Source organism: Homo sapiens, chromosome 10, assembly GCF_000001405.40.
Source record: "Homo sapiens chromosome 10, GRCh38.p14 Primary Assembly".
Lineage (NCBI taxonomy): Eukaryota > Metazoa > Chordata > Mammalia > Primates > Hominidae > Homo > Homo sapiens.
This window is the reverse complement of record NC_000010.11, coordinates 16,812,213-16,834,618: the sequence shown is the minus strand read 5'-3', so window position 1 is coordinate 16,834,618 and position 22,406 is coordinate 16,812,213. Positions and strand designations below refer to the sequence as shown.

Genomic DNA, 22,406 nt, shown 5'->3' with positions numbered 1-22,406 from the left:
TGAAGCTCAATGATACTAAATAGCTCACCTAATTTTCCTGACAGCTACAGTAAGTTTGGGGCATCGTCAACATCCTCTAAAGACAAGTGTTTCCTTGAATAAATGCTCCCTGGTCTCAGGGGGGTGTGGTCTGTCCTTTCTTCACCACAACTCCAGAGCTTGAATTTGGGCACAGAAATGACTTCACTGTTTGCCCATCGTCCACACACCCACCCCCCACTCCCACCCCAGGACACACTGAGAGAGAAGCCCCCTTGTGCCTGGAGCAGGCAGAACCATGCGCCTCGTGGGCCTGAAACTTTGGGGTCCTCCAGTGCCCCCGATGAGCTCCCTCTGTGCTCTTTCTGCCCCATCGCTGCATTGGGCATATGAGATGGAACATGAACATCATCGCTCATAGGCAGGAGATAGTCTGAATAAGCCTCATGTGATGTGGACCCAGTGTGTGGAACTCAGCCCCTGTGTTTTGCCAGAAAAACCCCAGAGCTCACGGGGTTTGAGCTTTGCAAGCTCTGTCGAAAATGCATTCATCCTTAGGAAATATACTTAGGTGGAACCTAAAAACCAAGAGCATAAAGATGCTGAGTTCCTCTGTGAGTGGAGTTTAAATCTAAACCTCATCCTGACCGTCTCTAAACTGGCTTTGTACCACACAAGAGTCTTCAGTAAAGTTTCCAAAAAGTGTGCTTGTTCCTCTACCCCTGATCTGGAGTTGTATTTTTTATTTTATTTTTTTTCTCACTGCCTCTTTAATCAGGTCTTCATTCAAAATAAGCTGCCCAAGAGGATTTGACCTTTGTAGCATAAAGAAATGTACCGGTGTAGGCAGCGGGCTCCTTTCATTCTGTGGGACGATTCTTTCTAGCGGGCCTCTGCTCAGCTGATAGTTTCTTGGTAGCTTCAGCCTTTGTTCCCAACAAAACATCTTCTGCTTCTTAGCACCAAGGGCTTTCTTTCTTTCTTTTCTTTCTTCTTCTTTCTTTTCTGCCCTGCAACCCCCCTCATCCGATTTGGCTCCTAGGGCTGCTGGCACCTTCTGCCCAGCCTGGCCAGGAAGGGTGTTCTGGCATATGGTCTTTGCATATGGGTTTAGCTTCAACATGATTCCTGATGCGGAGTTTTATCATCCTGGAAAGCTCTCCCCTTTGGAATTCATCTAAATCCTTTATTAATCAATAACCTTAACATATAGTGCCATAAATAACACTCGGAGGAAGCTCATGCCTTTTCTAAAGGAATACTCGCCACGACAGGAGACCGAAAGATGTATATAGCAGGGAGGAAATGAAGAGGCAAATACAGTTATTCTTTGTGCCGGTCAGGTTATTCAACTTGGACCTGTGTACCTCCCCCACCATGGAGATCCAAATATTTATATGAAGTGTAAAGCAGAAAGAATGAGGAGAGTGGGATCTGGAGGAAAGATGGAATAATCCCGTTAGGTTGGAGTCACAGTGCAACTAACTCTTAACTCACTCCAGCTTGAATGGACCATTATTGATCAGAGTCAACGTTTGCCATTTGCCTGATAGATGCTGGGAAGCAAAGCCTTGCTTTCCAGCCGTGGAGAGTGAGAATTCCTCCTCCTAGCTGTCCTTCATTACTCCACAGAATGGATCTGAAACTTCCTGTCCCATAAGCAAAGAAAGGAAACCACCGCTTAGGCCTGTAAAATGTAGCTCCATCTGGCTCTCAGTGGGAAGGCTGTGGGCATAGTTTCTTGGCAGCTGTACCAGGAAGCCTCAGCATTCCGTTCTTGTGAACTGCGGTGGGAACGGAAATGTCTGACTGAGAATTCTGACTGTGTTACTACCAAGCGAGGGCCGAGCTCTAGACCATGCTTGGAATCTGTTTTCATGCCTTCACCTCCCCTTTCAAGATCCTCTGATGTCCCAGAGATGCCCACTGCTCTAGGTGGCCCCATTCTTCCTAGGAGAGGAAAGTGAATAAGACAAGTTGTCAGCAGTGTCAGTGGAAATTAGTATCCTGCTGCTCCTCTCAGAGCAACGGCATTTTGAAAGAGGACCCTGAGGGAAAAACGCCCAAACTCAAAAGCGTGGTGCTGGCTATGGCAGCCCTCCCATCTACTAGTGGATGACTGGCTACTCTGTCATGGCAAGGTTACTTTGTTTAAACACTTAGCAGAATAATCCCCAAAGCACTAGAAAGGCATTATTCTCTCCCATGGGCTACTACATCGACCTAAAAGGAATCTCACCTGATCAACACAGCCCAGCAAGATGTCTTAACTTTGTGACTTAAGATACCAGCAATTAACCAAAGTTTAAACCATGGAATTATATAGGGAACAGAGGAACTTCCAATATTTTGAATACATAGATCAGTAAAATCAGCATTTCCGCATGTCAGGCTGGTTCCAACATACATTGCCCGCGTAACGTTTCCGTAAGAAGCGTCGAGAGCCCTCCTGGAAGCAGGGCTGGTTGTGAATGCAGGGTAGCAGCCAGGCTGGGGGACAGAAAGTGGTTCAGTTCACAGTGTAGTTCTCTCTCCCCATAAAACACAGGCTCATCTCCTGTTTTTATATGTGTCTACTCAAAAATGAGTTGAAACAAAAAAGCAACAAGGCCTCGGAATGTGTTTGTAAAACACATTTAACAACAGACATTGTATAGATTTATAATTCTGTCCTTTGCCCATACAGAAATTCCTTTCGTTCTGAACTTTATTATACTTTGCATTGTATTTTTTCATAGCCTCTTTACAGCCAAGTAATTTTCAATGGGAAACACGTGCACACACACACATACACAAACACACACACAATGAGAAAGGTGTAATAGTTGACTGGAAGCAGAGCAGGCAACATTGCCCCCGCCCATCTCCACCTTTTAAAAATTCACTTTACCTACATTCTCCAGAATGTTTCCCCAAAAGCAAAGGCTGCAGGATCACAGCACAAACTACGGTATAAAAAAGCTGCCTGGTGTTTTAATTGCTGTAGGTTAACAGGTATTTCTGAATCCAAATGCAAATGTTTTTTGATCTACACGTGGAACATTTTTCCCCTTTGCAAGTGAAGGTGACTTCTGCATGTATTTTCAGAAAACGCTTCATTCTTAACTGTATAAAAAGACAAAGCTTTTCCGACCAATGTCATCATTCAAATTGTCTCCATTTTAATGTATATACCTTAGAGAAGAAAGTGTAAGTTTAATAATGAATGACTCCTTCCTAAAGGTGAGAAATGGAAGTAACAGCAATTCACCATTACTGGGCAAGTACTGTGGAACTCTGCTGCCAAACCCTGTCTTCTCTCAAAATAATGAACTATACCTACGATTTAAGAGTGATAGTGTAACTTCTGATCGTGGATATGAAATCATCTGGACTTCATCACCCTCTGGTAAGACATTTGCACTTTGTACAGGAAAGCACTGTGAGAAAAACATGAGGTGTCTAATAGTAAAAGGCAAAGTAACTTTATATTTTTAGCTACCTGTGTACCTGATTAGTTTATGTTAAGAATAGAGATTTTAACATTGAAAGTACAGATTACTTTTTTTTTTTTGAAATGGAATCTCGCTGTGTCATCCAGCCTGGAGTGTAGTGGCGTGATCTTAGCTCACTGCAACCTCCACCTCCCAGGTTCAAGTGATTCTCCTACCTCAGCTTCCCAAGTAGCTGAGATTACAGGCATGCGCCACCATGCCCAGCCGATTTTTGTATTTTTAGTAGACAGAGCGTTTCCCCATATTGGCCAGGCTGGTCTCAAACTCCTGAACTCAGGTGATCCAACCTCCCAAAGTGCTGGGATTACAGGCATGAGCCACCGCGCCCGGCCAGATTACTTTAAATTTTACATTTATTCATTATTTCTGTTTATAAAAGAATATATATTCATATATGAAACATATATAAGGTAAGGTAGGAAGATTCAAAAATTCCTTGGTAAATTAAATTTTGTTAGACTTTTTGACTTTTGGCTTGACCATCAAGGAAGTTCTTTGAGAATTTAAAGAAAAATTTTTACCAAAAATCCAACTTATGAACACATTCTGGCATATATATGAGTAGTTGTGCTTCTCGCAGGCCCTGACATTTCTTGGCGGTTCTGGAGAGAAATTGCTTTTTTTAGGGTAGTAAGTATCTTCTCACATTTTTGGCTGGCTGTTTATCAAACAACTAAAGAAAATTTAAGTCATGTCAATACATTTAATTCAAGAGAGGAGGAATACCTTTATAAAATATCCCAAAATACCAAAATACCTTCAAAATAAGAAAGATAAACAGAACTCACTTTAAATATCTTAAGAAAAGCGTTCTATAAAGATAATCGTGGGTAATGGAATCTTGGCACCCAAAGGAAGCTTAAAGGTGACCTCCAATGCTCAAATTTTATCAACGAGCAAATAAAACACCAAGATTAAGCTAGGTGCTGTGGCTCACACCTATAATCCCTGGGAGACCAAGGTGGGTGGATCACCTGAGGTCAGGAGTTCCAGACCAGTGTGGCCCACAGGGTGAAACCCCATCTCCACTAAAAATACAAAAATTAACTGGGTGTAGTGGCACATGCCTGTAATCCCAGCTACTCGGGAGGCTGAGACTGGAGAATCACTTGAACTTGGGAGATGGAGGCTGTAGTGAGCCGAGATCACGCCACTGCACTCCAGCCTGGGTGACGGAGCAAGACTCCGTCTCAAAAAAAAAAACAAAACAAAAAAAACCCACCATGAACCCGGGAGGTGGAGCTTGCAGTGAGCCAAGATCGTGCCACTGCACTCCAGCCTGGGCGACAGAGCAAGACTCCATCTCAAAAAAAAAACCAACCAAACAAAAAAACCCACCAAGATTAATGAGTTGCCCAAAATGCTCCACTAGACTGAGGTGAAGGTGAGATTAGACCTCAGTGGTCAGAGGCCCAGCCACGTGCTCTGTAACTATGCCAGCCAGCTTCTTCCTGTCCCAGAGATGACCTGGATCTCCACAGATATATAGTCTAAATCATGACAGCCTTCATATACAGATTAACAAATTGAACAAATTAACACCAAAACTTGAAGTATTTGACCTTAAGTATGTCAGTTATTAGCCTGGTAAAGTCACTTTTATAATGAAGTCATTCCTGCCGTCACCTACAATAACGCACTCCCTCTTGGTTTAGTGCTGAATTTTACTTCTAATTTTACTTCACTCACATCACTGGCGTCAACTCTGGGCATGCAAAGATCTCTACACCATCGAAAGCACACAGACAACAACTTGATTTTCTCCCACAGTTACTTTATCAAGTTTGTTTTTTTTTTTTTTTTCCATTCTGCTCTCAACCCCCAATTTTCAAAGTACAGTCCTGGAGGAAGTTATCCCTGGGTTGTGATATGCAGGCAAAGGCACGTGTGTGGAGGATGGAAGAGGTGGAGGTGGCAGTGGGAAGAGAGGGGAAGAGAGGAGAAAGGGTGTAGCCCAAAGAAGAGGAAAAGGAAAAGGGATTTCTGCCTCCATTATTCTTGCAGAGTCTCAGCACCTTAAGAAAATAAAGTCTTATTGCCTAACAAGCCAGACTGGACGGCTTATATGCTGTTGAATCAAACTTCCTGTCCTGTTTTCCTTGCAGGATGTGGTGGAACTCTTTATGGAGACAGAGGCTCATTCACCAGCCCCGGCTATCCAGGCACATACCCAAACAACACGTACTGCGAGTGGGTCCTTGTTGCTCCTGCTGGAAGGCTTGTCACCATCAACTTCTACTTCATCAGCATTGACGATCCAGGAGACTGTGTCCAGAACTATCTCACACTCTATGATGGGCCCAACGCCAGCTCTCCATCCTCTGGACCATACTGCGGAGGCGTGAGTAAAACAAACATTTTATATTCCCATTTGTTATTTTTAGACAATAATGAGTCACTTAGTGTAGACTTTTTTTTTTTTTAAGATGGAATCTCGCTCTTGTCACCCAGGCTGGAGTGCAGTGGTGCGCGCAATCTCAACTCACTGCAACCTCCGCCTCCTGGGTTCAAGCAATTCTCCTGCCTCAGCCTCCTGAGTAGCTGGGATTACAGGTGCCTGCCACCACACTCAGCTAATTTTTGTACTTTTAGTAGAAACAGGGTTTTGCCATGTTGACCAGGCTGGTCTCGAACTCCTGACCTCAGGTGATCCACCCGCTTGGGCCTCCGAAAGTGTTGGGATTACACGCGTGAGCCACTGGGCCCGGCCTAGTGTAGACTTTCAAAGGCAGACACACTGCAGAGGAAGAAGCACAGCCTTTAACAAATTGAGCAGTTTTCCAACTTGCCTTTCTATTATGGGAGCATGAGTGCCATCTGGTGGGCATTGCATTAAATTACTATTAAGAGTTACAAAAATCAGCCCTGCGTCAGAATCACCTGTGGAGTTACTTACATTAGACTTCCAGTTCCCACCGAAACCCACTGAATCGGGATTTCCCAGGGAGGAGTCACAGCACGCTGTTTTTTTAAAAAAAAGCTCCCTCTGTGACGTCAGTGCACTGCCTAGGGTTGAATACCCATGTTTATTTCTGCATAAATAGAACTGTAGAAAATTTGGACACGTGGCTCTATTTTATCTACTTCTTGCTGAAAATTGCAGAAATTATTTGAAGAAATGGTGACCGATAGTTTGTTTTTGTAAAGCTCTGATATCTTCCCTAAAAAAATCAGAATCTGACGTTGATTCAATATTGCAGGCATCTGTGCTTACGATCCTCTCATTTGATGTGCAAGTAGATACTTAAAGAGAGTAAGGGCTCACACCTGCAATCCCAACACTTTGGGAGGCCCAGGCAGGTGGATCACTTGAGCTCAGAAGTTTGAGACTAGACTGGCCAACATGGGGAAACCCCGTCTCTACTAAAAATACAAAAATTAGCTGGTATAGTGGCACACGCCTGTAATCCCAAGTACTCCGGAGGCTGAGGGAAAATAATTGCTTGAGCCAGGGAGGCGGAGGTTGCAGTGAGCCGAGATGGCGCCACTCCACTCCAGCCTGGGCGACAGAGCCAGACTCCATCTCAAAATAACAAGAGAGTAAGTAAGGGAAAATTGGCTGTTGGCAAGCGGGTATCTGTTTCTGATTTTTCTGCCCTTTAATCACTTAGACTTTGTAATCAAACTAGACAGAGAACTGTATCAGCTGGAAATCTAGATGGTTTTTAAAATATAACTTACTATTTATAAAATTGATAAATGCTGTTTTCAGAAGTATCAGAAAATAGGCTAATTTTTCTAAAACCCTGGGCATTCTCATATATTCTTAACACCTTTCTTTGAATATATTTGCATATATTTTACATGCATATTTTTTACTGTTTGATGGTGTGTTTTTTCTACTTACCAATATATCATTAGTAACATATCAATAAAAACACTGTTGCATCATATTTAAGTTTTGGAGAGTATTCCGTTGCACGAGTGTGGCCTAATTTATTTAATGAAGCCCCTCTAAGTGGACATTTAGGTCTCTTGAACTTTTTGCAACTACAGACAACACTTAATAAACTTTTTGGTAGTGATATCTTTATACATATAGTTACATTACTTGGTGAGAAATGGTAATCACAGGACCAGCAGACACTGTATCACGGGGATGCACAGAAGGCCCACAGAGAGAGAGACCCCAGTAAATGTGCCACACATCAGATTTAGAAGCTAATCAGCTCTTAGACATTGAATTGAAATTTACAAACATTTCAAAAGGGAGGAAAAGAGGCAATTTTAACAATACCATGACTTTATATTGGTAGGGGTTTTTTTGTGGGCATGGTTTTCAGTGGCTTGCAAACATACAACCCCATTTGATCCCCACAGTGACACTCCCATAAGGTGGAAAGAACAAGTATATCCTGGACTTGTATAAACCGAGTTCAGGTTTATACTGAACAAGTATAAACCGAGTCACTGAGAGAAGTGACGGCCATTTAATCCAATGCCACGTTAAGTTGAAGTATATAGCGAGATAACATCAATTTTTTTAACTGTTGGTGTTTACGGTATTTTCCCAGTTTTACATTTTTTTATAAATGTGGATATAATTTCATGTGTAATTGTTTTTTTTCTTAAAGGTACCACTGATTTCTTTAACACTTTATCAATGTTAAACATAAATGAAAAAATGTAAAACATAAGTATAAAACATGAAGTACAGAGGTAGCTCTTGTTTTGCTAATATTTACATACAACTTTTTGTAAGTTGTAATATTTTACTAATATTTACATACATACTTTCACATGTTACATACATACATATTTACATGCATAATTACATACATATGAAAGTTGTATACTTTTGTATGTATACTCCTTAAGTATACAATTCAACTTTTTATGTATGTAAATATGTTTGTTAAACTTGTAATATTTATATACATACAGTATTTAAATACATACAGTGTACATACAGAGGTAGCTCCTTATTTTGCTAATATAAACACAAACCCTGATTTGGAGATATTTTATATTACGGTAAATACCATTGTTCACAGGGAAATCCTATATCCCTTGCAGCTGCAGAAAATGAAGATCTAGCAAATGAGAGAATAACGGGACAAACAAGGAGAATCAAAGGAGATTCTAAAACTTCTGTTGACCGTCTGTTGACATACTAGTTTGTCAAAATAAAAGAAGTTATTGAAATTTGGAAGCAGATTAAAATGGGAGTAAAAAGTAGATGTGTATAGGAATAAAAATATTGTATATTCCTTGATGTATCTCTTACAGAAAAAAAAATCTACACTCACTTGAGTAAGTGAGTATCTTGGAAATAAGCCTGTGTTTTGATGACTTGGGGTAGGGCTGAGGCAGGAGAAGCCAGTCATGTAAGCATCATGAGAGCAGGGCTTTTTGCCTGTTTTGCTCATTTTTTAATGTCTTAATACCTGCAGCGTGGCAGTGCCTTGATCAATATTTGCCAAATGAATGAATAGAAAGTGAGAGACAACGGGGACCCATGTATCCCCCCAACACACACACACACACACACACACACACACACACACACACACACACTGTTCCACAGAAGTATATGAAAATAAATCTCAAGAGGAAAAACTATAAACACTGAGGATGAAAATACTATATTTTACTTAATAGGATCATTTTAATTATATATGTTTGTTTCAGAAAAATTAAATTTGCAGTAAGAACTTGAATAAGAAGTTCAAGTTTTTTGATAACAGTTTTATTGAGATACAATTTCAATACCATCCAATTCATCTCCTTAAAGTATACAATTCAGTGGTTTTTCGTAGGTTCACAGAGCTGTGCGGCCATTATCAGCACAGCCAATTTTGGGACACTTTCATTACCCCCCAAAGAAACCCAGTACCCATTTGCAGTCCTTCCCCATTTTCCCTCAACTCCCCACGCCCAGAAATATTCCTTTGTAAAGCATTTGCATTCATTCTTTGCAAGGTTACTTCAAGAAATATATGCAGGTTCACCATAAATTCTATAAAGTTTCTTTATGTGGTACTTTGTTACTAGGCTAACATTCCTAGAAAAACGTTCAAATATGTGAAATATATAATTGGATACTTTTTTTTTCAATTTTAGGACACCAGCATAGCTCCCTTCGTGGCTTCCTCAAATCAGGTCTTCATAAAATTTCATGCTGATTATGCACGGCGTCCATCCGCATTCCGATTAACTTGGGACAGCTAAGTGGGTAACAACTCGTGTTCACTCAGCACTTTCCCTCTGCAGCACGCTGGACAGCACTCTGCCATCCTGATACATGACCCCTGCTGATGCCACAGAGAATAAGCTGAACTTGTATGGTTTTTCACCAAACCATGGATAGAATCAATATTTGTAGGCCAGGCGTGGTGGCTCACCCCCCTGTATTCTCAGCACTTTGGGAGGCCGAGGCAGGTTGATCACCTGAGGTCAGGAGTTTGAGACTAGCCTGGCCAGCATGGTGAAACCTCATCTCTCTAACAATATAATAATTAGCCAGGCGTGGTGGTGGGTGCCTGTAATTCCAGCCACTCGAGAGGCTGAGGCAGGAGAATTGCTTGAACCCAGGAGGCAGAGGTTGCAGTGAGCTAAGATCACACCACTACACTCCAGCCTGGGCGAGACGGCAAGACTCCATCTCAAAAAAAAAAGAAACAAAAAAAACCAGAATCAATATTTGTACATTTTCTCGAACATAGAATATAGCTTCTTTAGTCTTGAGTGTGCATTTCATTCTAATATTTTGAGCTGAAATTTAAAAAAACTTTGAAAGAGTTGGAAATGATTATGGCATATGTGACATACATTTTTAAAAGTTAATAATAATAGCCAGGGGCAGTGGCTCATACCCATAATCCCAGCACGCTGGGAGGCCATGATGGGAGGATTGCTTGAACCTAGGAGTTTGAGACCAGCCTGGGCAACAAAGTGAGACCTGATTTTTACAAAAAATCAAAAAATTAGCCAGGCATGGTGGCATGCACCCGTGGTTCCAGCTACACAGGAGGTTGAAGCAGGAGGATCACTTGAGCCCAGTAGGTTAAGGCTGCAGTGAAACCCTGTGAATTAACCACTGTACTCCAGCCTGGGTGACAGACTGAGACCCTATCTCAAAAATGACAACAAGAACAACAAAAGTTAATGATAATATAGAAGCATAAATTTCCTGTGAATGTTCAATTACACATAATAAACATTATTGAATTGTACACAATTATGCTGCATTAATTTTTTGACTTATTAAAACTCTGTCTTTCACTATGGGACATATATAAATTTTCAAGTTTAATTTTTACATTTTGGCAAAGAATTCAATATATATATGAATCTTCCAGAGCTTCATTTCTGGAGCCAAGCTGCCTGAGTTTCAATTTTAACTGTACTAGTTAAGTGCTTACACAATCTCTCTGTGCTCAGTTTCTTCATTTGTATAAGGGGATTATTTTACCTGTCTCACAGGGTTGCAATAATTAAGTATATATGTGTAAAGACTCAGAACAATACCTGGTGCATATTAAGTAATTGGTAAATGCTAGCTTCTATGTCAATTAGTAGTAGTATGACTCTCCTCCTTACCATACAGATGTACCTGCTTTTCCCATACTCCTCCAAAGCCAGGCCCAAGTCTCACCTGTGTTTACCTTTTGCCATGCCCCTAGGTCAATCTGAGCTTCTCCAAAGACCTTGCCTTAACTACAGAGAAGTTTGCCGTAACCTCTGAATTCTCTATTTCCCTCCCATTTGACTCAAACTTCTGTTTCTCCTGGCCACGCCGAACCTTTTCTTCATTTATCCCCAGGACCCTGTACTCTCCTGGTTATTTAATTTCTCTGAGTATTCTCCACTCTCCTGTAGAATGGTGGCCCTCTTCACACAGCTCCACTAGGCAGTGCCCCAGTAGGAACTCAGTGTGGGGCCTCCGACCCACATTTCCCTGCTACACTGCCCTAGTAGAGGTCCTCTGTGAGGATTCTGCCCCTGCAGAAGGCTGCTTCCTGAAAACCCAGGCTTTTCCATACCACCTCCAAAATCTGGGGAGAAGCTGCCAAGAATCTACCACTCTTGTACTCTGTGTGCCTGCAGGTTTAACACCCCGTGGAGGCTGCCAAGGCTTATGGCTTTCATTCTCCAAAGTGGCAGCCCAAGCTGTACCTGGGCCCCTTTGAGCCGTAGCTGGAGCTGGAGTGACCAGGGCGTGGGGAGCCCTGTCTTGAGCCTATGCAGGGAAGCAGGGCCCTGGGCCTGGTCCATGAAATCATTCTTTCCTCCCAGGCCTCTGGGCCTGTGATGGGAGGGGTTTCAGCAAAGGTTTCTGAAATGCCTTTGGGGACTTTTCTCCATTATCTTGGATATTAGCAGTTGGCTTTTGGTTATGCAAATATCTCTAGCAAGTGGATGCCTCACAGCCTGCTTGAATTCCTCTCCTGAAAAAGCTTTTTCTTTCTCTGCCATATGGCCAGGCTGTAAATTTTCCAAATTTTTACACTCTGCTTTCCTTTTTAATATAAGTTCCAATTCGAAGTCATTTCTTTGCTCCCACATCTGAGCACATGCTATTAGAAGCAGCCAGCCCAAATCTTGAACACTTTGCTGCTTAGAAATTTTTTCCACCAGATACCCCAGGTTGCCACTCTTTAGTTCAAACTTCCACAGATCCCTAGGGCATGGACAGAATGCAGCCAAGTTCTTTGCTAAGGCATAATATGTGTCACCTTTGCTCCAGTTCCCACTAAGTTCCTCATTACCATCGAAGACCTTGGCAGCCTGGACTTCATTATCCATATCACTATCAGAATTTTAGTTGCAACTTTTAAACAGTCTCTAAGAAGTTCCAAATTTTCCCTCATCTTTATGTCTTCTGAGCCTTCCAAACTCTTCCAACCTCTACCCATTATCTTGTTCCAAAGTCAGTTCCACATTTTCAGGTATCTTTATAACAAAACCCCACTCCTGGTACCAATTTTCTGTAATAGATCATTCTTGCATTGCTATAAAGAAATACCCGAGACTGGGTAACTTATAAAGAAAAGAGGTTTAATCTGCTCACAGCTCTGCAGGCTTTATAGGAAACATGGTGCTGACATCTGCTTGGCTTCTGGGGCAGCCTCAGGAAGCTTATAATCATGGAGGAAGGCGAAGGGGAAACAGGCATGTCACACGGTGAAAGCAGGAGCAAGACAGCGAGAGTATGGGACAGGTGCCACACACTTTTAAGTGGCCAGCTCTCATGTGAACTCAGAGCAAGAGCTCACTTATCACCAAGGGTATGGCCCAAGCCATTCATGAGGGATCTACCCCCACGATCTAAACACCTCCCACCAGGCCGATCTCCAACACTGGCTTTTATAACTCAACATGAGATTTGAGCAGGGACAAATATCCAAACTCTATTATGTATTTACGCTCAGGAGTACAAAGTTTCCATAAGCACCACCATTGCCTATTCCTTAACACAATATGTTAAGTTATAAATAAACAATATGGTTTGCCACTTAACAAGAAGTAGAAAGTTCAGTAGCACATCCTTATCTCCAATGCTGCCAGACATGTAACTAAGTGAGGTAGTTATTAGCTTCCTTTTCATAAGAAAATTCAATGCTTTTATAAAGTTTTTCAGTGCCTCTAGAAAAGCGGAAGCCTTTACAAAGGAGATTTGCTTTATGTTAATTATGCAAAATCAAGGGTTATTAACAAAAGACCATGTGAATGAGAGAAGCTGAGGAATGTAACTTCATCTTACTCTAATACTCAAATGGCAGATAATTATTTCTGGACAGAGTATGGAGCCACAGAAATAAAATACTCTAACCTTGAAAATTCAGCTACTCAGGAGGCTGAGGCTGGACAATCACTTGAACCTAGGAGGCGGAGGTTTCAGTGAGCCAACATCGCGCCACTTCACTCCAGTGTGGGTTACAGAATGAGACTCCATCTCAAAAAAACAAACAACAACAACAACAATTCCTGCTCCCTTTTTGTATTATGGATAGACATATCAACTTTATGGGTGACAATTACATTGGAAAGGACAGTGAATGCGATAAGTAACACCATCAAATCCAAAAGGTCTTGATAAGCTACAACAATGGGCCAATTGTAACAGACGAAATGTGACAGATATAAGATCTTCCTCTTTTATCAAAAAATGAATTGCAAAAGTACAGAATACAGGGAAAGTTTAACAATAACATGAAATGACATAGTACTTTTCTGAAAGAAAGATTAACATGATGTCACTGTCAAAAAAATGATGCTTAGAGCATGGACTGCATCATTAGAGTAACGGTATCATTTCCACTCAGAAGGGCATGCTTTTCTAGGAGGCATATTGGAATATCTGGGAAGTGTGTACCTGAAATTGAGGAAAGCATAGTCAATATTATTATGTAATTTTAAAATTAAAAATACAGAAAAAAAGAGACAAAATGAAGCTTTACAAAATCTTCCAGGCTGGGCATCTAGGAAATAAGCAGTGATTTTTTAGTGGGTTAGGGATGGTCAGGCTTGGGAGCATGACATTTTCGTGTATAGCCAAGGGAAGTAGTTATTGAGTAATTCAGTTTTTGAGTAATTCAGCTGGAAGAAGGAGAAAAGAGTCAACTGTACTCTCATTCGTAAGACCCACCGTATATCCTCTGGTTCTGCTTTACATTTAATTCACTTGTTTCCAAATGTTTATTGAGCATCAGCTATGTGATACGTACTCAGCGCACTGAGGATAAAGCAGAGAACAAGACAGCCATACAAGACTATCAGCTGATGTCTCCCAGCTTCACAAAGCACACTTCCCAGCTCCATCTTGCTTGATTTCCTGAGCCAGTCCTGAGGCAAAAACCTTAATATTCTTATCTGGTGAAACATACATTGAGCCAACTTCCCAGATCTAGTGGCCAAGGGATAAGTTTCCTGATTCCAAATTGTGTCACCATGAAGTTTCACTGCTAGCAATCAGGACCCTGGACAGGCTAACCATCATCCTAGCAAATTAATCAAACCTGAGAAGGGGGTGTGGGAACCCTGATTTATAGCTGGTCAGTCAGAAGTGTAGGTGACAGTCAACCTAAAGTCTTGTGGAAATGAACCCTTAACTTGTGGGATTTGACTATAAGTTGAGGTAGACAGTGTCAGAATTAAGTTAAACTGTAAGACACCGAGCTGGTGTCTGCTGGAGAACTGTTTCATGTGTGGGGGATTCTCTGGTGTCAGAAGTGTTGAGCCAGTGGAGAGTAGCAAAAACAGTTTGGTTTTTCCTATCTCAAACAGGAGTGAAAACAAATTCCTATGAAACAGAAGTGAATGGAGGCATGCAGCTCAAAATAACTTCAAGAGAGACATGCAGGAGGGCTGGGACTCTCTGTTCCAGGTGTAACCTGGATGTGGGGCTGGCTGGTGCAGTGTGAGGGGCTAAAACCAAAGTCAGGGAGTTGCCCTAACTGGCACTCACAATCCACCATTTCCCTCCACCTGCAAAGGTAGCCGGGTGATGACCTGCAGGCATAATACTGGGTTCTTGCCTCTGAAGAAATTCGACTATCAGTCTAGGGATCTAGGAGGAAAACAATACAAACAAACAAGAGACCACTCCAGCTATCTAGAAAAACCAGTTCAGATCTTCACACTTGAACTCAAAAGAACAACCAAGAATCAATCACCAGAGAGGGGAAGAATCTTTCTTTTCTAGGGAAAAGACTAGATAAATACACGTAAGAATGGACCCTTGAAGAAACATAATTGAGTGAACAGAAGAGAGGTTTAAAAACTATTATCCTCGGTGATACCTGAGAAGAGAGTACATTCATGAAACAAATGCAGGGTGTTATTATAGGCCGGCAGTCCAATAGGACTGGTGTCCTTAGAAGAAGAGACACCAAGGGTGTGACTGCATAGAGAAAATGCCCTGGAGGGACACCAAGAGAAGACAGTCGTCCACGAGGCAGGGGAGAGGCCACAGGATAAATCAAATCTGCTGGCACCTTGATCTAGAACTTCCAGGATTGTGAGAAATTTCTGTTGTTTAAGCCATCCAGGCTGTGGTATATTGTTACGACAGCCCTAGCCGACTAACACAGGTACTGTATGTCTTCAGCCTACCTAGGCAAGATTCACTATTAGAAATTGATAGAATAAGAAAAATTCTGATTGCTTCAAAACAGGACTTTTGCTTTAAAAGAGTTAATGATTCAAGAAATAAATGTATTAGGAGATTACCTACTAATACGTATTGATGAAATTATGAAGTTAGAAAATCATCAGTGGATGCTAAAACTTGTGGGTAAAAATTAGATGAGGAATGGGGTGTAATCAAGTAGCACCTCCCCCCAGCATTATTTTTAATCATAAAGAAAAAAATAGTAACTTTATGGTGAAGAAACCTGGCAGACACTACCTTATTTAAGTGAACATCACCTATACTGGGAGAAACCGATGCCATCTGTACCTTGATATCATGCACTGGAAAAGACACATCGCTTTAGTGGTGTTTCTCCAAAAATTCATAACCTGAAAGGGAACATCAAACTTACTTTGAAGGATATTCCACACAATACCTGGTCTGTATTCTTAAATAATGTCTAGTTCAATAAACATAAAAGCCAAGGACGGTTCCAGATCAAAGAAGACTAATGGAGGAATAACTCTTTCATCTGGAATGTTTTTTAAGCAAGAAATACCTGCTTTCGAATTTAAGAGTGCAGATCCTTTTTTTATCCAATTGGTTCGGAGATATAATTACATTATTTTACCACATCTCCTTAAGGCTTTGATCCCTGCTACAATCTACAATATATAAATGCATATGTGTGGCATCCGTCTTATCATCAATTTAGGTGACCAGTAGAAGAAAAGTGCCTGGTGCCAATTTTTATTCCATAGTATAAAATAGTCTCTCAGGACAGGGTTTTTGGTGAGAGAAGCACAGGATGTTGCTGGGTGACTGAGACTGGGTCAGGAAATAGGGAGGCAGAGGGCAACAGTTTCTCTAGAATTTAAAATTTGGTTGCTTTTGGAAGAGAAAGCAAGAGATTCCTGGAAGCCAGAACGTCATGTTTCACAAATGTAAAAGTCCTAGTTGGGAAAGACACATCGCTTTAGTGGTGTTTTCAAATGACTTTTAAAATAGTAGGGTTTTACTTGTAGGTTCTAGCTACAAGTAAAAAGGCTAAAAGCCAGCCTTAGAAACCTGTCAAAAAAGATTTCCAGCAGGGCGCTGGGGAAACGCAGACCGCGCCGGAATCCCCGCCTGGAGAAGCTCTTAATAGGGCGGGAAACTGCGTGCCCCACAAGGTCCCTCAGAGGCACATTGTGGAGACGGGCTCAGGGTAGCAACTTCTGGCGAGTGGAGCGGCTATTACACAAGCGAAACATTCGGAAGCAATTTACTTCCAGCTTTCGCAACACCCACCCTGAGCCACCACCCTCCCTTACACAGTCACGCCACAAACTTCCCCACTTCCGCCCACAGCCCTCTGGGCTTCGACCCATCAACTGAGCTTGCGCCAAGTCTACTGCGCACGCGCCAACTTCGGCCCAATCAGCGTCCCAAACCGTGGGGTGGACGCCACCGGGATAAACTATCCTCAGCGTGGGGCGGGGTCTCGAAGCCGAATAACGAACGTGATTAGCCAGCCTCTTCCACAGACTTTTAAGGGCGGAGCCTGGCCCTGGAGACACGTCTGGAGAGCTGTTCTCCTAATATGGGTAGGGTCGGGCGTGGAGCTGGCAGCGGCGCTGTGTGCGCCTGCGCGGGGCGCCGAGACAGGGCGTGTTCGCTGTTCAGTGCCGGTGTTGCAGGGAGTGAGGGCAGCTGGAGTGCGTTCTGCCGAAGCTTGTGGTTGCACGCCCATCGTCTTAGGGGCTACCTTCCGTGGTGAGTGTGTGCGGTGTTGCACTTGGGGTTGCTTCTCGCTGCGTGGCCGCAGCGGGGCTGAACCCTTCCCACTCCATCCCCTCCCCGCACCCGGACCAGCCCCTGGGACGCCCTCGGACGCCCACCCGCTCCAACCCTGGGGAAGCCTCAGAGTGGCAGCGAAGGCCTCTTGCCTTTCCGCCTCTGCGCTTGCTGTCATCGCCCACGTGCTTTGTTGTTGTTCGGTGCAGACCATGTCCAAGTCTCTGAAGAAGTTGGTGGAGGAGAGCCGGGAGAAGAACCAGCCCGAGGTGGACATGAGTGACCGGGGCATCTCCAACATGCTGGATGTCAACGGCCTCTGTGAGTTCTCGGGCAGGACTCTCCCGTGGATGAGCTGGAAGGCTTTCTAAGTTTGCCAATTCACTGCTGGTCCTGCTGTGAGCGATTGTACTGGTTTAGACCCCAGCCCCTGCTTGTAAACCTCACTTGTCAGGGGCTTCGCGCAGAGGGTTTGCAGTAGGATTTGTTCTGTTCCACCTGGAAAACGATCCTGAGAGTCCACGATGAGAATCACACAGACAGCTGTGCCTCATCGGTTGTCTCTGCTGTATGGCATTGAGGTGGATTTTCCACAGTTTGCTTAATAGTCACTTTAATTATAAATTGAAAATTAATTTTGAGTCCTTCTTCCTGTCTCCTAATACAGTCTTTGTCCATGAACAAATGACACAGAAAAGTTCCATGGTTAATAAGCATTCTTGTGCCTGGAGCGTTTTAAGCATTTCTTGAATCTTTACATTCTTCTGAGTATTTATTCTCCGAACTTGGTTCAGGCTTTTGTCACCTCCTCATGCTGTGGTGAAATCCTCCTAACTTGCCCTCTTGCCTTCAGTTTCACTGCCCAGTTTAATCACTGGGTCACTTTCAGTGTCATTTTCCTGTAACCCCTGTCTATGGTGTTACCCTCTCCCTTAAAACCAGGGATTGCAGATTCACATGCCTCCAAGTGAGGGCGGTCAGGGGCGGTTATGAACTAGGTGATAGGTGTCCCACTTGAAGGGGCCAGCTGCTGCACCTGCTACTCAGACACATGTCACCATAGGAATGTTGGCCCAATGTGCCAGATTATTTTCTTAAAGGAACCAAGATTCTATATTTTTATGTGAAATTTGCTAATTTTTAGATGTTGGCTACTAATTCTAATATTTGAAAAACCTGTGATAAGTGAGCTAAAGCAGTTCTTCAGGCTGACGTGGCTTTGGTTTAAACCCTCTCCGCACTTCTCCAGGTTGTCCATTATCGACGGTAATGCTCCAGGTTTCTTGGCGTGATGTACAAGGCCTTTCTGAATCTGAACACAACCTTACCCTTCCATGCAGCTGGCATTCCAGCCATTCTGAACCTGTTGCCCTTCCTGGACCAGAGCCTACTCGTTCAGATCTTGGTGCCTTTACAAATTCTGTTTTCCCTCTTTCTCAGTCGTTTGCACCTGAAATCCTTTTACTTCTAAGAGTCAGCTTAGACATCACCACCTGTGTAAAACCTTATCCGTCTGCACCAGGCTAACATATCCCTTCCCTCCTCTGTGAAGGTGGTCGTGTGTATTGCTTTGTGACTCCTCTCACATAGGATTGTACTGATTTTTTTCTTTTTTAATCTAGAAGTCTCTCTTCTCTGCTGGGACATTGGGAAGACAAAAGCTGTGCAATATTCATGCTTGCATTTTTTTAATAATAGTGCCTGGAGCACAGTAGATGCTCAAAAATAGTTGAGGAATGAAGAAAATGAAAGAATGATGGATTAGGCCTGTGAGTTTGGGATATCAACTCCAGGATGTGACAAGAGAGAAGAAGGGAGATGTTCAGGAGACCCTGAAAGGCGATGGATAGCCATTTAGGCATGGAGAGAACTGCAGAGTCAGGTTTACTGTGAATTCACGGTTTTCACGGTTCGAAAACCTGCCTGGGACAGAGGTTGGAGTTGATGCTATTGATATGTCTTGGCAGAAGGAAAAGGGAGGAAACGTAGATTTGCGTTTCGTAGGCTTTATGAAAATACGTGCCATTAAACTTAGGTTGTGTACTAGTTAGCCTCTCAGGCTTGGTGTGTGTTGGTCTCTTGCATTCCGTAAGGGTCCTTGCTGTCAGCAACTGAGCAGATGCCTCTGGAATTGGATATCTGAGTTTGCCCCTTGCTGCGCCTGCCCGGCTCTGCCATGACCATGGTCATTATTGGGGGCACTGTTGATACAGAGGAGAAAGAGAAGGGGATAGGGAAGATGATGCATAGCGGGAACCTTGGCCCCATGGCCTTCCTCCCTACAGCACTCATTCTCACCAGGTAGAAGAGAGGCTGCTTTCAGCAGAGGAGCTTTGTACCCTTCGGCTTTTGAAGAGGAGACTTTATGTAATATTTATAAATGGGGAGAATGGCTTAGCTATTTCGGTTCAGCTCCGTTATCTCTTTGAAGCCTTGGCTTTTATTAAGGAAGAAAAGCCACTTGCTTCCTGAAATATATTTCCGGTATAACATTGGGTGGTGAAAAGCGAGATCATTCTTAAATTTTCCTAAAGAAGTAGCTAACAACGGATAATAGTACTTTTTGGGAAGTTGGGTGGAAGTGAATTTGGAGATTTGCAGATTCCATCTCCTCTGGCTTCTGTAGCATTGAGCCAAGGCTGCTCTCTGCAAACTCCCTGACCTCAGGACTTCTCGGAGCCTAGGGGGTTCCAGGATGCTCTTCGAAGCCTCCACCAGGGCTCACTTCTCAGCAGTGCACACACACTGACACAGTGCTTAATATATACAAGTATTAAAATACTTCACATGGCTACATTAATTATAAGTGTAAGAATTTTTTTTTCTTTTTTTTTTTTTTTTTCCTGAAAACAGGGTCTCGCTCTGTCACCCAGGCTGGAATGCAGTGGTGCAGTCACAGCTCCCTGGGGCCTCACCCTCCCAGGCTCAAGCAATCCTCCCACCTCAGCCTCCCGAGTAGCTGGGACTATAGGTACACGCCACCACGCCTGGCTAATGGTTTTATTTTTTATTTCTTTGTAGAGATGGGGTCTTGCTATGCTGCCCAGGCTGGCCTCAAACTCCTGGGCTCAAGGAGTGCCCCCATCTTGGCCTCCTAAAGTGCTGGCATTACACATGTGAGCTACCACACCCAACCTCCATGTTTCTTTACTGATAAACTTTTAGCTGTAACCAGGAAGTTTTATATACTAGTATCCAGCTTAAACACAGCTTAAACTTGTATGTACAGAGAATAGCTGTTTCTTGCATCTCAAGTTTTCCCTTTATTATTCTTACTTTGTTTAATTTCTCAAGAGGTTAGAATTAAGCTTTGAAGATAAAAGTAAGGTTTTGTACTACTAAGCATATGAGATGCCCGTCTTTCTTCCTGGGAGAGTTGTATCTTCTAACGCAGCCCTTCCTTAGAGACAGCAAATTACCTTTAAAAGATGTTTTGAGGAGTTTAGGTACCAAGAACTTTCTGATGGGGAAAACTTCTTAGGCTGGAGACAGGTATCAGACAGGTTCTACAGTTTTCTAGTAGTCCAGCCAGATTCTAGAAATGCTCACTTCCTACCATGAGAGGCAGAGGAGTACAGCACATAGGAGGGGAACCTGGATTTGGATAGACGTGGATTCAAATTCTGCTAGTTAGTACTGTGTAACCTTAGAGAAGCTACTTAACCTCTCTGATCCTCAAGTTACTTAATAATTGGTAGCCTAAGAAACCACTTCATAAGACTGGTTTAATGGTTTGCGTTAAATGCAATAATGCACATTAAATGTTAGTTATTAACTAGTGTTAGATCCAATAATGTACATTAAATGTTAACTATTAATATGAATATCCAGCTATAGACCCATATGTCTCAGACATACCCAGTTCCAACATAGTCAGTAGCCTGAACCAAGAACTTTACTTTGTTAACTCGACTGGGTAAGGCATTTGTATCAGGTGTTGGAATTTTTTGTGTGGCTTATTAGAACCTGTAGTGTTTGGTACTTTTGCCTAAGGTTCTAATTGATTTAGATAGCTATTTATTTAAAATTTGTCCTAATTTATTTATTTTCCATCATTTTGTTTTAACATGGCATGTAATTTGCACACACATTCTCGTTAAAGCTTCCAAGAACACCAGTGTGGGCAATAGAGTGAGACCCCATCTCTACAAAAAATTAAAAAATGAGCTGAGGGTGATGTGCAAGTCCCAGCTTTCAGGGAGGCTGCGGTGGGAGGATTGCTGGAACCCAGGAGTTTGAGTTTGTAGTGAGCTATGATCGTGTTACTAGGTGACAGAACAAGACCTTGTCTCTTAAAAAAAAAAAAAAGCTTCCCAGCATAATCGTAATGCTGCTGATTTTATTCTTTTTATTAAAGAGATTTCACTGCAGAAACTCTTTCCCAAGCAGCAGCTGTCTTCATCTGGTTGATAAAGTTGATTTTGAAGGGCCCTGTAATCAGCTTCCATTTCCATAGAGACAGAATCCCAGCTGTAGCCGGAGGAACTTTCTTTCATTTCTCTTATTTAAGTGTTTCCTGATTTTTTAATCTCTTCAAGTGTATTGCCCTCTCTGGGTGGTCAAGCCTTTATCATTTTTTTTCCAAGTTAGACTAAAATATTTTTCAGATAAATCTCGAAAACAACCTGCTTTCAAGGGAGTGGTCTTTCTAAAGGACCAGGCAAAATAATAAACAAATATGATCATGGGTTATCTGGAAGAGCTATCTCAAAAGTCTTGTTAAACCTGGAACACATGCTATCCATGTCGACCTTCTTTGGGGGATAGATTAAAGAGCTGGGGAGGACCTGTAATTTTAGATATAATCTATTAAAATCATTTTTTTGTTTTTTAATTTTTGTTTTTTGTTTTTGAGATGGAGTCTTGCTCTGTTGCCCAGGCTGGAGTGCAGTGGCGTGATCTCTGCTCACTGCAGCCTCCACCTCTTGGGTTCAAGCGATTCTCCTGCCTCAGCCTCCCCAGTAACTGGGGTTACAGGCGTGCGCCACCACACCTGGCTAATTTTTATATTTTTAGTAGAGACGGGGTTTCACCATATTGGCCAGGCTGGTCTTGAACTCGTGACCTCAAGTGATCCACCC

At 42.6% G+C, this 22,406-nt stretch overlaps 2 protein-coding genes and 1 long non-coding RNA gene across 8 annotated transcripts in view, besides 5 other annotated features; 2 read left to right on the top strand and 1 right to left on the bottom strand.

The window, feature by feature from the left end:
• Nucleotides 1–10,653, top strand: part of CUBN (cubilin) — a 305,846-nt gene extending 295,193 nt beyond the window's left edge. For all 4 annotated transcript variants that reach the window (NM_001081.4, XM_011519710.3, XM_011519709.3 and 1 more), the window contains 3 exons: nt 3,202–3,367; nt 5,579–5,814; nt 9,537–10,653. In NM_001081.4, coding sequence (NP_001072.2) covers nt 3,202–3,367; nt 5,579–5,814; nt 9,537–9,644 — 510 coding nt within the window. In that variant the 3' untranslated portion in view covers nt 9,645–10,653. The remainder of the gene's footprint in view (nt 1–3,201; nt 3,368–5,578; nt 5,815–9,536) is intronic.
• Nucleotides 11,603–11,754: a silencer, noted in NCBI's record as "fragment chr10:16864864-16865015 (GRCh37/hg19 assembly coordinates)". NCBI's record gives its function as "represses an EF-1alpha promoter that drives an FKBP-Casp9 reporter gene in an ReSE screen in HepG2 liver carcinoma cells {active_cell/tissue: HepG2}" and the evidence as "EXISTENCE:reporter gene assay evidence [ECO:0000049][PMID:32094911]".
• On the bottom strand, nt 13,362–16,920 carry LOC105376435 (uncharacterized). The gene is made up of 3 exons (XR_930708.3): nt 16,863–16,920; nt 15,877–15,938; nt 13,362–13,791 (listed from the first exon to the last, which is right to left on the bottom strand). It is a non-coding gene; the product is annotated as an uncharacterized LOC105376435 (long non-coding RNA).
• Nucleotides 16,577–16,626: an enhancer, noted in NCBI's record as "active region_3107". NCBI's record gives its function as "activates an Ori minimal core promoter by ATAC-STARR-seq in GM12878 lymphoblastoid cells {active_cell/tissue: GM12878}" and the evidence as "EXISTENCE:reporter gene assay evidence [ECO:0000049][PMID:35858748]".
• Nucleotides 16,657–16,746: an enhancer, noted in NCBI's record as "active region_3106". NCBI's record gives its function as "activates an Ori minimal core promoter by ATAC-STARR-seq in GM12878 lymphoblastoid cells {active_cell/tissue: GM12878}" and the evidence as "EXISTENCE:reporter gene assay evidence [ECO:0000049][PMID:35858748]".
• Nucleotides 16,777–16,886: an enhancer, noted in NCBI's record as "active region_3105". NCBI's record gives its function as "activates an Ori minimal core promoter by ATAC-STARR-seq in GM12878 lymphoblastoid cells {active_cell/tissue: GM12878}" and the evidence as "EXISTENCE:reporter gene assay evidence [ECO:0000049][PMID:35858748]".
• Nucleotides 17,195–22,406, top strand: part of RSU1 (Ras suppressor protein 1) — a 226,814-nt gene continuing 221,602 nt past the window's right edge. The window contains exons 1-2 of one of the 3 annotated variants that reach the window (NM_012425.4): nt 17,195–17,304; nt 17,535–17,646. In NM_012425.4, coding sequence (NP_036557.1) covers nt 17,538–17,646 — 109 coding nt within the window. In that variant the 5' untranslated portion in view covers nt 17,195–17,304; nt 17,535–17,537. Of the gene's footprint in view, nt 17,305–17,534; nt 17,647–22,406 lie in introns of those variants that run through there. The other 2 variants (NM_152724.3, XM_047425617.1) reach the window with 2 other exon arrangements.
• Nucleotides 17,557–17,716: an enhancer, noted in NCBI's record as "active region_3104". NCBI's record gives its function as "activates an Ori minimal core promoter by ATAC-STARR-seq in GM12878 lymphoblastoid cells {active_cell/tissue: GM12878}" and the evidence as "EXISTENCE:reporter gene assay evidence [ECO:0000049][PMID:35858748]".